This window comes from Homo sapiens, chromosome 10, assembly GCF_000001405.40.
Source record: "Homo sapiens chromosome 10, GRCh38.p14 Primary Assembly".
NCBI lineage: Eukaryota > Metazoa > Chordata > Mammalia > Primates > Hominidae > Homo > Homo sapiens.
In genome coordinates, this window is record NC_000010.11 from 74133065 (window position 1) to 74146338 (window position 13274).

The window sequence follows — 13274 nt, forward strand, 5'->3', positions numbered from 1 at the left end:
CAACATTGTGAAACCCCGTCTCTACTAAAAATACAAAAAATTAGCCAGGGCCGGGAGCGGTGGCTCACGCCTGTAATCCTAACACTTTGGGAGGCCGAAACGGGCAGATCACCTAAGTTCAGGAGTTCGAGACCAGCCTGACCAACGTGGAGAAATCCCATCTCCACCAAAAACACAAAATTAGCTGGGCATGCTGGTGCATGCCTGTAATCCCAGGTACTCGGGAGGCTGAGGCAGAAGAACTGCTTGAACCCGGGAGGCGGAGGTTGCGGTGAGCTGAGATTGCACCATTGCACTCCACCCTGGGCAATAAGAGTGAAACTGCGTCTCAAAAAAAAAAAAAAAATTTAGCCAGGTGTGGTGGCTCATGCCTGTAATCCCAGCTACTTGGGAAGCTGAAGCAGCAGGATCGCTTGAATCCAGGAGGTGAAGGTTCCAGTGAGCCAAGATCATGTGATTGCACTCCAGCCTGGACAACAGTGTGAGACCCCGTCTCAAATAAATAAATAAATAAACAAACAGATTTAAAAATCATCAGATAATGAATGCCTTTCCACCGAAACCATACTGCCAAAGGACTTCAATTTTCTTTTCCTTTCTTCTTCTTTTTTTTTTTTTTGTTGAGACAGAGCCAGGCTGGAGTGCAATGGCATGATCTTGTCTCATTGCAACCTCTGCCTCCTGGGTTCAAGCAATTTTCCTGCCTCAGCCTCCCGAGTAGCTGGGATTACAGGTGCGCGCCACCATGCCCGGCTAATTTTTTGTATCTTTAGTAGAGACAGAGTTTCACCATGTTGGCCAGGCTGGTCTCGAACTCTGACCTCATGTTCCGCCTGCCTTGGCCTCCCAAAGGGCTGGGATTACAGGCGTGAGCCACCGCGCCCGGCCAGGACTTCAGTTTTCTATTCATCTGTGTCAGATGAATTGTTTTTCCCCAAATAAGATGACATGCACACAATTACCTGATTTATCTATAATTGCGTCTATTTCTTCAACAACATCAAAATAGGCTTCATTGTTTGTGTACTTTACCCCTGCCCGACGCCATGGTATGTTGGACAGCTGCCCGGTGGGGAGTGTGTCCCCAACATTACTACTGCCTAGAAACCAAAAAAGGAGAAGGCAAAGCTGATGTATAAAACAGTCATGAGAAAATTTATTACTAGGAAAAAAAAAGCTGCTTCTTCAATGTTTGGATTTTTCTTAATGAAGTTGTGGATGGTCACTAGAATTGTCAGACATATCCATACCAACATGATCAAATTTCTAGAAAAGAAATATAGGCCATGTGGCCCTCTGTCTACCTGCCAAACCAGGTTAAATTTATTTACTTATCTTTTGCCTCCTGTGTGTTAACAGTAATCTAATCTAATTCCAGTGGCTCAACAACAGAATCTCTGCCACTGATGAAAAAAGAGGTTGGTTGTTTCAAAACCTTCTGCCAATAAAATGTCTCCAGTGAGAATACAGAGTTATAACTAGGCCCTTCAGTATTCAACTTTATTTTACATGAGATGCTGCCAAGCACGCCTCAGTGGAGTAAATGGAATCTGGCCTTTTCCTATTTTAAGGTCAGCATACCCATACGGCTGCAATATAGCTAGTATTCAGTATCCAGCTCATTTCCTGGTAAACTGACACATGCCTAAAAATAAGTCTGGTTGTCCAAAACACATATCTTTGAGCTGTGACTTACTTAATATTTTGGTTAATTTATATTTCCCATTCGAAAGTACTACATACTTAACAACAACAAAAAGGTAGAGTTCAGAGAAGTGGTTTAAAGAAAAACACCTGTCTTCTTACTAACAAAATATATCTACCATTAACATTTTTGTTAATATTATGGTATTAACATTTTAATATAATATTAACATTTTGGTATATTTCTTTGAATATTTCCACCACCAGAAGGTTGCATTTTTTTCTATTTTGATAATTTTGGTTTTTAATTGCACTTTAAAATATAGTCGCAATCATACTGTATCTACAATTTTGCAGTCTACTTATGATTGGTGTTCCTACCTGCAACCTATAATCATGTTATCTTCCTGCTCAAAAACGTTCAATGTTTGCTCACTGGCTTTATGATAAAAGCTAAATATTTATCCTAGCTTTGAAGGACTTTCTCTACTTTTTAATTTGATCTCTAACTTCTCAAGTGAAAAACAGTTCTGCTTCTGCTAAAGGGATTAATAAAACTTTAGGTTTTTCTCTTTCATGTGTGTTTTTTTCTCATACAGTTCCACCATGGAGAATGCTCTTATTCCTTCCTCACTTCCTGAATTCTACTGATTTTCCAAGGTGGCCACCCACCACAGTTCAGGAGGGATTACTTCATTAATGGAACCATTCTCTTGAACTTTGTAATACACTATCTAATGAATCTGTTATGTTTTGCATTATATATTTTAGTAACTTTTCTCTGACTATAAAATACATGTTTATTTTGGAAAATTAGAAAGTATAAAGCAAAAATAAATATAATCTGTATTTAGCTGGGTATAATCATTGTAAATACTTTTTTGTCGGAGTGAATATTTATATATAAGAATAATTTTTTTCAGTTTTGTGCTGACTTTTCAATTTAACGTTACATCATGTGTATTTATTTTCCAATGCTATTACTTTATCTGTGAAGTATGGAATTGCTTTTTAAAGTCTTATACAGTTATTTACTTAATTTTTTTTCCAATGTCCCATTCAGAGTATAAGTTTTAGGAGTACAGACACACCATCTTATCTTTCTTTGAATTTCTCCTAACATTCGTCCTTACACAAAGGATGAATAAAGAGCTGCTGAATGATCTTTTTCTTATAGGCCTCTCTCACCTCATTTTTAGGTCAAGGCACTGGACAGGGGTTTACAATGGTTGACAGTGGAGTTGGAGTGGCATATAACATTTCATAGGAATCTTTGTCTAAAAGACTTTAATGCTTTCGAAAGAATATTGGTATCTGGATGTGCCTAATTTCTAGCTACACTCAAGAATTAAACCCAGCTGGAAGCTTACAACACAAGTACAGGCCCACAATGCATGAGATCTCATAAGTAAACTATTTCCTATTTTTTCTTAATACATCTTCTGAATGCATAAAAACAAAGACTTGGAGGAGATTGTAGTACTGTGTGGTTAAGCGTCTTAAATTTTCTATTCTCTAGTAATTGTGGAGTAGCAGCATACCAGTTATGTAATGCTATTTTAAATATTAAAATGCCAGTCTATAAATGGACTAAATTCTCTTCTAAGTGGGCTCATATACTGGCTTCTTTAGGAATAACTGGAACAATTTATTCAGTCTTAGTATTTAGTGTTAAATAATGGTAATAATATTGTTGTGGTGTTTTAGAAAAAAAAAAAGAGTAATAACCAAAAGTTCTTTATCACTTAAGGTCTAGCCTCTTTCCATGAAAATAAATATATAGTACATCCATTTTAACTTTACCAGTAACTTTAATTATGGCCAAATTGTACTACCTTAATAATATGTCAGATCATGAGCAATAATGAGTTGTTTACAAAGTTTTAATTGCTCAGTTACTAGCACAGTATGTTTTCATCTTACCTGTAATAGAGTTGACAACAGAGCGTAGAATTGTTGGTGGTTTAATCAATTCTTTCAAAATGTTAGATTCGGTAGCCAGTGGAAATCCATTGTCTAACATTTCTTCTAAGAGTTCATATACTATGACCACATTATCCTTAATTGCAGCCTCTGAACACTCACCAAAGTAGTCCTGACAAAATACACACAAAATATCACACAATGGAAGGCAAAAAGAAAGGCCTGCTAAATACTTTTTGTTCTGAAGAATAAACTTAGAGTAGCATAATTCATTGCTTAAGCTGCTGAACATATATAAAACAGAGCGGGGGAAAAAACCCTCTATAGTCCGGGCATGGTGGCCCATGCCTGTAATCCCAGCAATTTGGGAGGCTGAGGCGGATGCATCACTTGAGGTCAGGAATTCAAGACCAGCCTGGCCAACATGGTGAAACCCTGTCTCTACTAAAAATACAAAAATTAGCTGAGTGTGATGGTGCACACCTGTGGTCCCAGCTACTTGGGAGGCTGAGGCGGGAGGATTGCTTGAACCCGGGAGGCGGAGGTTGCGGTGAGCCAAGATCATGCTACTGCACTCCAGCCTAGGGAACAGAGTGAGACTCCGTCTCAAACAAAACAAAACAAAACAAAACAAAACAAGCAAACAAAAAAAACCCCTCTATAGTCCTAATATTATTCCTCAATATTTTCTTGATATTTCTAGGTTGAATTTAATTCCTATTACATATTATACCAGAAAGTATTGAAACATTAAATTGGAATTTGAGCTATAAACTTCATTCACCCTGATTATCCCAAAATACATATAGATAAGCTTAAATTATTTGGTATATTCCGCAAGACAAAATAATAAAATGTAAATATAGAAGAGTTCATAACCAATGAAAATCTTGAGACCATTGAGAGAACTGTATGCGGAGGGCATTATTGTTTCCTGATGATATACAGTCATCCCTTGGTATTTGTGGGAATTAGTTCCAGGATCCCCTGTAGATACCAAAGTTCACAATTCTCAAGTCGCTGACATAAAATGGCATAGTATTTGCACATAACTTATACACATCCTCCTATATACTTTAAATCACCTCTAGATTACTTGTAATATCTAACACAGTGTAAATGCTATGTAACTATTTGTTATACTGTATTGTTCAAGTAATAATGAGAAGAAGTTTGTACATGTTCAGTTCGATTTTTTTGTTCAAATATTTGCCATGTAAGGTTGGGTGACTTTATGGATGCAGAACCCATGTATATGGAGAGCCAACTGTAATCTGTAATACATATAAAAAATAGTGAATAGAGCAGCCATGTGTGTAACTGTATACCACACAGAAAAGGGCTTATGAATTTACGCTTAAACAGAGAGAGACAGACAGTAAACATCAAAACCTGGGTAATTAAATAATATAATCATGTCTCACCTTCAGCTAACTTGGGTCATTTAACTTAGAAAGGTATGATAGATAACCAACCTGAAAAGTGTCAGCAACTCGATGTAGGAACTCAATTACAAAGAGAGGTGGCACTTCGGTCTGTATGACAGATACAAAGAAGAGCTTATCCCGGTAGATACTGATGAGGTAGTGGTGAGGTGTTGAAATGACAGGTGGTACATTTTCAACATCAGCAGCTTTCTCTTGAGCTTCAAAGAAATAATCACAGACAGACTGGCTCACAACGCTCTTCCAGTGCTTCTCTAGAAATATGTCACCGGAACAGTTTATGAGAAATAGACTGTGGATCATTTTCTGTTGGGGCAAAGAAAGGTTTAAATTTATTATACATTAAATATCATTTAACATACACAAAAAGATTATACACCTTGACCAAGTGGGATTTATTCTAAGAATGCAAGGCTGGTTCAACATACAAAAATCAATCAACATGATATACAATAAGAACTAAAACAATCATTTCAAAAGGTGCAGAAATTGCATTTGACAAAATCCAACATCCTTTTACGAAAAAAAAAAAAAAAAAAGAAAGCCATTTAAGAACAAAAAGAAACTTCCTCAGCCAGGCTCAGTGGCACATGCCTGTAATCTCAGCACTTTGGGAGGCTGAGGTGGGCGGATTGCTTGAGCTCAGGAGTTTGAGACCAGCCTGGGCAACAGGGCAAAACATCATCTTTACAAAAAATACAAAAATTAGCCAAGCATGGTGGCACTTGCCTGTAGTCCTAGGTACTCAGGAGGATGAAGCAGGAGAATTGCTTGAGCCCAGGAGGAAGATCGACGCTGTAGAGAGCTAAGATTGCGCCACTGCACTCCAGCCTGGGTGACCAAGTGAGACACTATCTAAAAAAAAAAAAAAAAAAAAAAAAAATTTCCTTAACCTGATGAAAACCCCACAGCTAATATTATATTTAAAGGTGAAAGACCGAACACTTTCTCCTTAATAACAAAACCTAACAAGGATGCCCAGTCCCATCATTTCTATTCAACATGGTACTAGAGGTTTGAACCAGGGCAATTAAGCAAGAAAATAAAACAAAAGGCTTCCAAATTGGAAAGGAAGAAGTAAAACTGTATCTGTAGAAGATACAATCTTATATATAGAAAATCCTAAGGAATCCACACACACACAAAAAAAAACCTATTAGAGCTAATAAATTTAGTTCAGCAAGCTTGCAGGACACAAGTCAATATAAAAATCAATTATATTTCTATCCACTATAGCTATAAAATACTAAAAATGGGCTAGGCATTGTAACTCATGCCTATAAACCCAGCACTGTGGGAGGCTGAGGAAGGAGGATTGCTTGAGCTCAGGAGTTTAAGACCAGCCTATGCAACATAGTGAGACCTCATCTCTATTAAAAAAAAAAAAACAAAACAAAACTGAAAATGAAATAAAACAATTTCAGGCCGGGCGTGGTGGCTCATGCCTATAATCCCAGCACTTGGGGAGGCCGAGGCAGGTGGATCACCTGAGGTCGGGAGTTCAAGACCAGCCTGGCCAACGTGCAGAAACTCTGTCTCTACTAAAAAAAAAAAAAAAAGGCCAGGCGCGGTGGCTCACGCCTGTAATCCCAACACTTTGGGAGGCCGAGGTGGGTGGATCACGAGGTCAGGAGATCGAGACCATCCTGGCTAAGACGGTGAAACCCCGTCCCTACTAAAATTAGCCAGGCGTGGTGGCACGCACCTGTAGTCCCAGCTACTCAGGAGGCTGAGGCAGAAGAATCGCTTGAACCCGGGAGGCGGAGGTTGCAGTGAGCCGAGACTCAAGATTGCACCACTGTACTCCAGCCTGGGTGACAGATTGAGACTCCATCTCAAAAAAAAAAAAAAAAAAATCCCAGCTGCCTTTTCGTGGAATTTGACAGGCTAATCCTAAATTCATAAGGAATTGAAAAAGATCAACAGCCAAAACAATCTTGAAAAGGAACAACAGGGGCGAACGGGGTGGGGTGCGCCATTCCTCCCTGGCCAGGGTGCTTGGGAGCAGGGACCCCCACCTGCAGCTGAGCATCCTTCCTGGGAGCCACTCTGCTGTTCCAAGGACCTGGGAGGAGCCCTCGGTCCCCCGGGTGCCAGGGCCCTGGGGCGCACACATCCACCCCAGCCCGAGCCTGCGTTTCCTGAGCCAGGATCTGGGGCGAGATGGCTGCAGGCGGCCGTGCGCCCAAGCCCCACGTCCTCGTCTGCCTTGGGGCGCTCCTGGCCAGCTGGTCGCCGTAGGTTAAACTCACCTTACACCTGTAACCGGTGGACTTCCCTACATACCTTTGCAAGCCCTTCTGTGCCGACCAGCGCCTTCAAAGCGGGGTCTTCTGCCTTTACTTTTGGAAAAGCTTTTCATTTTGAAATACTTGGCTGACTTACAAAAGACTTCCCCTCACACTTGACATGATTGACAAAAGGTCTGAAATGCTTCATCTACAGTCTGATTTACTATGAAACAAGAATTGGGGGGATGCTTACAAAAATATGTAGAATTAAAAAGATTGAAAAAATATATATATTTGAATTAAAAAAAAAAAGGAACAACGAAGATGGATAACTCGTGCTTCCTGATTTCAAAACTTACTACAAAACTACTATGTGGTATTGGCACAAGGACAGACCTACAGATCAATAGAACATTAACCCTTACATTTATGGTCAACTGATTTTCAACAAGGGTGCCAAGACCTGGGTGACCAGTTGGAGAGAGAACAACCTTTTCAACAAATGGTACTGGAACAACTGGATTTCCACATACAAAAGAATGAAATTGGATACAAAAAGCAACACAAAATGTATCAAAGACCTAATTGGAAAAGCCAAAATGATAAAACTCTTAGAAAAAATATGCATAGATTTTGACTCTGGATTAGACAATGTTTTTTAAGATACGATACCAAAAGTACAGACAAGAAAAATAAAAAATAGATAACCCAGAGTCCATCAAATTTAAAACTTAGTGCTTCAAAGGACATTATCAAGAAAGCAAAAATTCACAAAATGATAGTAAATATTTGAAACCATATATCTTAAAGGGACCCCTATCCGGAAAATATAAAGAACTTTTACTCAATAATAAGAAGGGCCAGGTGTGGTGACTCACAACTGTAATCCTAGCACTCTGGGAGGCTGAGGAGGGAGGATTGCTTGAGCCCAGGAGTTTGAGACCCCGTCTCTATAAAAAAATTTAAAAACTAGCCAGGCATAGTGGCTCATACCTGTAGTCCCTGCTACTTGGGAGGCTGAGGTGGGAGGATTGCCTGAGTCCAGGAGTTTGAGGCTGCAGTCAACTATGATCCCACCACTGCACCCTAGCCTGGGTGACAGAGGGAGACCTTGCCTCTAAAACATAAAAAATAAATAAATAAACAAGCCAATTAAAAAATGGGCAAAGGATTTGAAAAGACATTTACTCAAAGAATATATACATACAAACGAATCTTACAAATACGATGTTGAATAAATGAAGCCAGATGCAAAAGAATATACACAGTATGATTCCATTTATATGAAGTTGTAGAACAGGCAAAACTAATCTACGTTAAATCAAATGGTTTCCTTTATGGAGAGTGGAGGGCCATGGGGATGATCTCCTAGAGTGCTGGTAATGTTTTATTTCTTTTTTATTTTCCTTTTTTTTTTTTTTTTGAGATGGAGTCTTACACTGTCGCCCAGGCTGGAGTGCAATGGTGTTATCTCGGCTCACTGAAACCTCTGCCTCCCAAGTTCACGAGATTCTCCTGCCTCAGCCTCCCTAGTAGCTGGGATTACAGGCACACACCGCCACACCTGGCTAGTTTTTTTTTTTTTTTGTATTTTTAATAGAGACGAGGTTTCACTATGTTGGCCAGGCTGGTCTTGAACTCCTGACCTCGTGATCCGCCTGCCTCAGCCTCCCAAAGTGCTAGGATTACAGGAGTGAGACACCGCACCTGGCCAATGTTTTATTTCTTGACCTGCATGATGTTTACAAGCTGTGTTCCTTCTATGATAACTCATTAGGCTTTACATTGTGATTTGCATACTTTCTGAGTGTTAGTTATGCTTCCTATAAGAAGTTTATTGTCCCTGCAATATGGGGGACAATGGAAAAATGTCTAATTATCTTACCTTGTTCCTATCTTTTACGTGTATAAGCACCAGTATCAGGTGTTTAGTCTAGTGGCTCAATCATTCCAAGTAATAGTACTATAGTCTAAGAAGAAAGAATTTAAGACCTATGAATACAGTTTCTATGAATGAAGATAAATTCCAAAGAGGAAAGGAAGACTTTCCAGAATTGATTCATTTGATTCTGTTGACAGAAAACAACATCAACCCTTTCTTTTATGAAAGCGGCTGACATTTAAAGAATATGTGGTGATGATCTCCTCTTCCCATTCGACACATGTTCAGTAGTTATCAATAATACTAGTTACTAAGATATGTTTTAGTAATTATTGTATTAATAAAGTATGAATACTGTTAACAGTTTAGGGTTCCTGTTTAATTAGAACCAAAAAATTTCTTTGTTTAAAGCCCTCTGTTTAGCCAAGAAATCAACTTGAGTTATTAGCAATAAACTCTGACACCTCAGGGTTGGAACCTGCCAAATTTTTCTACTTTATCTAGTCAGATGCTTTGCTTAGTAGGCTTGCTTTGTGTCTTATATTTCTGTCTGGGTATTAATATAAGTGCCATTAGAATACTTAGACTTGCTATATAGAACCTGCTGATTTTAACTATAATCTTTAGCTGATAAACTTTTCATTTTCATTTTTTAAATGAAACAGGAATATCCAACCATAAGATCTGCAACTAAATTTTTATTATTACACCTTTTTCTTGGAAGAAAATCAGCATCTGAAATATATAATGTATGACTTCAAGTGGAGCACTGTAATCCACAAGCAGACTCAGATTTGGGCACTTCAGGTGAGTCACATATGGAACACAGCATTCTTTGCAAAAATTAATCTTTTGGCCCCATTCAATGTGGTTATTTTTGGCCAGGCACAGTGGCTCACGCCTGTAATCCCAGCACTTTGGGAGGCCAAGACTGGTGGATTACCTGAGGTCAGGAGTTCAAGGCCATCCTGGCCAGCATGGCAAAACCCTGTCTCTACTAAAAATACAAAAATTAGCCGGGCATGGTGGCGTGCGCCTGTAATCCCAGCTACTTGGGAACAAAGCTTGTTTGTTTGTTTGAGCAGAGTCTCCCACTGTCACCCAGGCTGGAGTGCAGTGGTGTGATCTCTGCTGACTGCAACCTCCGTCTCCCATGGGCAAGCAATTCTCGTGCCTCAGCCTCCTCAGTAGCTGGGATTACAGGTGTGCACCACCATGCCCAGCTAGTTTTTCTGTTTTTAGTAGAAATGGGGTTTCACCATGTTGGCCTCAAGTGATCCGCCTGCCTTCGCCTCCCAAAGTGAAGCTACTGTACTCAGTCCCCATTCAAAGTGTTTTATTCATTAAAGATAATGAATAATAAATGAATTAATACTATCTAAAATGTATTGAGTACTTATTATGGGCCAGACACTATGCTAGACACTTTATCTCATCTTATTTTCACAATGCTACACCATAAATACTACTATTATCCCCATTTTACAGATAAGACAATGTCATCTCAGAAAAGTTAGGTCAATTACCTAAGATCACGCAGTAAGCTAGGATTCAAACCTAAATCCAGCTGAATTCTGAGCTCCTGCTCTTATCTGCCTTGTAGAGACTAATTATTAGGAACACGTTCTAATACAGCACTGTCCAACAGGGCTTTCTGCAATGATGGAAATGTCCTTTATCTGTGCTAATATGGTAGCCACTACACCCATGGCTATTGAGCACTTGAAATGTGGCTAATGTACCCAATACTGAAGTTTTAATTTTTTTGAAATTTTAATTAATTTTTTTTTGAGACGGAGTCTTGCTCTGTCTCCCAGACAGGAGCGCAATGGCGTGATCTCTGCTCACTGCAAGCTCCGCCTCCCAGGTTCACACCATTCTCCTGCCTCAGCCTCCCGAGTAGCTGGGACTACAGGAGCCCGCCACCACGCCTGGCTAATTTTTTGTATTTTTAGTAGAGATGGGGTTTCACCATGTTAGCCAGGATGGTCTCGATCTCCGGACCTCATGATCCACCCGCCTCGGCCTCCCAAAGTGCTGGGATTACAGGCGTGAGCCACCATGCCCGGCTTTTTTATTTTTATTTTTTTTTTGAGATAGGGTCTCGCTCTGTTGCCCAGGCTGGAGTGCAGCTGCGTCATCTTGGCTCACTCCAACGCCCACCTCCAGAGCCCAAGCGATCCTCCCACTTCAGTCTCCTGAGTAGCTGGGCTTACAGGCGTGCATCACCACACACAGCTGAGTTTCAAATTTTTGTTTTGTAGAGACAAAGTCTGCCTATATTGCCCAGGCTGATCCTGGACTCCTGGGCTCAAGTGATCTTCCCACCTTGATCTCCCAAAGTTCTGGGATTACAGGTGTGAGCCACCAAGCCTAGCCTGAAGTTTTAATTTTAATTAATTTAAATTTAAATAACCATATATGGTTAGTAGTTAATATATTGAACAGTGCATGAATGTGCTGCTTTAGCTTATGATTTTTTTTTTTTTTTGAGACGGAGTCTTGCTCTATTGCCCAGGCTGGAGTGCAATGGCACGATTTCCTCTTACCACAACCTCCGCCTGCTGGGTTCAAGCGATTCTCCTGCCTCAGCCTCCCGAGTAGCTAGGATTACAGGCATGCGCCACCATGCCCAGCTAATTTTTTGTATTTTTAGTAGAGATGGGGTTTCACCATGTTGGCCAGGCTGGTCTCGAACTCCTGACCTCGTGATCCGCCCGCCTCAGCCTCCCAAAGTGCTGAGATTACAGGCATGAGCCACTGCACCCAGCCTAGCTTATGATTTAAGAGGAGGAGGTAAAAGACATTTCTTGTTTAGTTAGGAGGCAAAAGACATTCTAGTTGTTATGCTGAGGAAGTTTAATAAATTATTTAGAGTGGAAGTTATATTTAAAAGCACCGACACAGGTTATCTAAAATCATTCATCCTATCGAAAATATAGTTCACAAGGATTTATAGTGCTCCTTTGCCACAATACACTCTGAAAGAGTTGCTTGTTTTGAAAGTAAGTGATTTTGTAGTTACTTTATTTTAGGGCCAGATCTCTACTCATCCTCTTAAGCTGGTGAAAAATTCTTTCCAGGAAAGTTTCCACCGAAGTTGTTTTTATTGGCAGTAGTTCAGGTCTCAGAATACAGAAAGTTAAACCAGCCTCCTAGATTTATTGTTGTTATCCTTAGTGCTGAGATGAAAGCATAACACTTGTAAGTTCTCGACTGTGCTTAGCTTTAAAACCCATCTTAACCTTCTATAATAGGAAAAGAGAGCTTACTTCTTCTATCCATATTATGACCAAGGTCTAATGCATATAACAATTAAATAATACCATGTTGCAGTGTAAATTAGCCTGTTTCTTTATTTATCGTCCTTTTGGTAGCTGCAGTTATTTTTTTAATTATTATTTTCATAAACTTTCTGAGAAAACTACACACTCATTATTACCACAACCATCTTTTTGTTCCTAGTGGCTTTTGAGTCATAAAACAGAATTCTCCCAGCTTATTTAAAAGCCACTAGAAGAAACTGTGTTCAGAGGCAGACCCACCAGAGCTTTGACTGCAGCTTAAATACATCATAAATCCTTTTTACTAAACATTTTATAATCATCCTGGGTAATTCACAAGCAATGCATTTACAATAGTCAAAATATTCTTGGAAGACAGTGTCTAAAAACAAAAATGTATTCCTTCTATATATAATATGATGGAGGCACAGAAGGGCCTATACTGAACTTGAGAGAATGAGACCAGAAAAGCATCTACTCTTCTGATTCTCAGCCAATATCTTGACCACATATTCATTCAACACAGAGTTTTGAGGCACTGGGTATATAAGAACAAACAAAATTAGAGTTCCTATACTCACAGCATTTAGAGATGAGCAGAGAAGACAACTTAATACAGTTAAGATGTAATTCCTACGATGATACAGGAAATATAGTGTGCTGTGGGAATCTACAAGGCTTAGAGGTGAGAGAGAACACAAGACAAATAAATCCAGTATAAATTTAGCAAATATGGAAGGTGGAGGGAAGAGGGGAGATGAAACTGGACAAGGAGGTAAGCAGAGACTGATTGGTTCATGGAGCATGCTAAACTTGTTAAGGAGTTTGGACTTTATTCTTAGTGCAATGTAAAGTCATTTTATAA

The 13274-nt window shown here is 39.5% G+C and overlaps 1 protein-coding gene across 8 annotated transcripts in view; it reads right to left on the minus strand.

The window, feature by feature from the left end:
• The window catches only part of AP3M1 (adaptor related protein complex 3 subunit mu 1), a 30574-nt gene that overhangs the window by 12810 nt on the left and 4490 nt on the right, over nucleotides 1-13274 (minus strand). For 4 of the 8 annotated variants that reach the window (NR_135191.2, NM_012095.6, XM_024447939.2 and 1 more), the window contains 3 exons: nucleotides 5043-5318; nucleotides 3568-3739; nucleotides 963-1100 (listed from right to left, as the gene is read on the minus strand). Coding sequence is in view for 7 of the 8 variants with exons in the window: in NM_012095.6 (NP_036227.1) it covers nucleotides 963-1100; nucleotides 3568-3739; nucleotides 5043-5315 (583 nt within the window). In the remaining variant the exon portion in view is untranslated. Of the gene's footprint in view, nucleotides 1-962; nucleotides 1101-3567; nucleotides 3740-5042; nucleotides 5319-5741; nucleotides 5868-13274 lie in introns of all 8 variants that reach the window. The other 4 variants (NM_207012.4, NM_001320263.2, XM_047425054.1 and 1 more) reach the window with 2 other exon arrangements.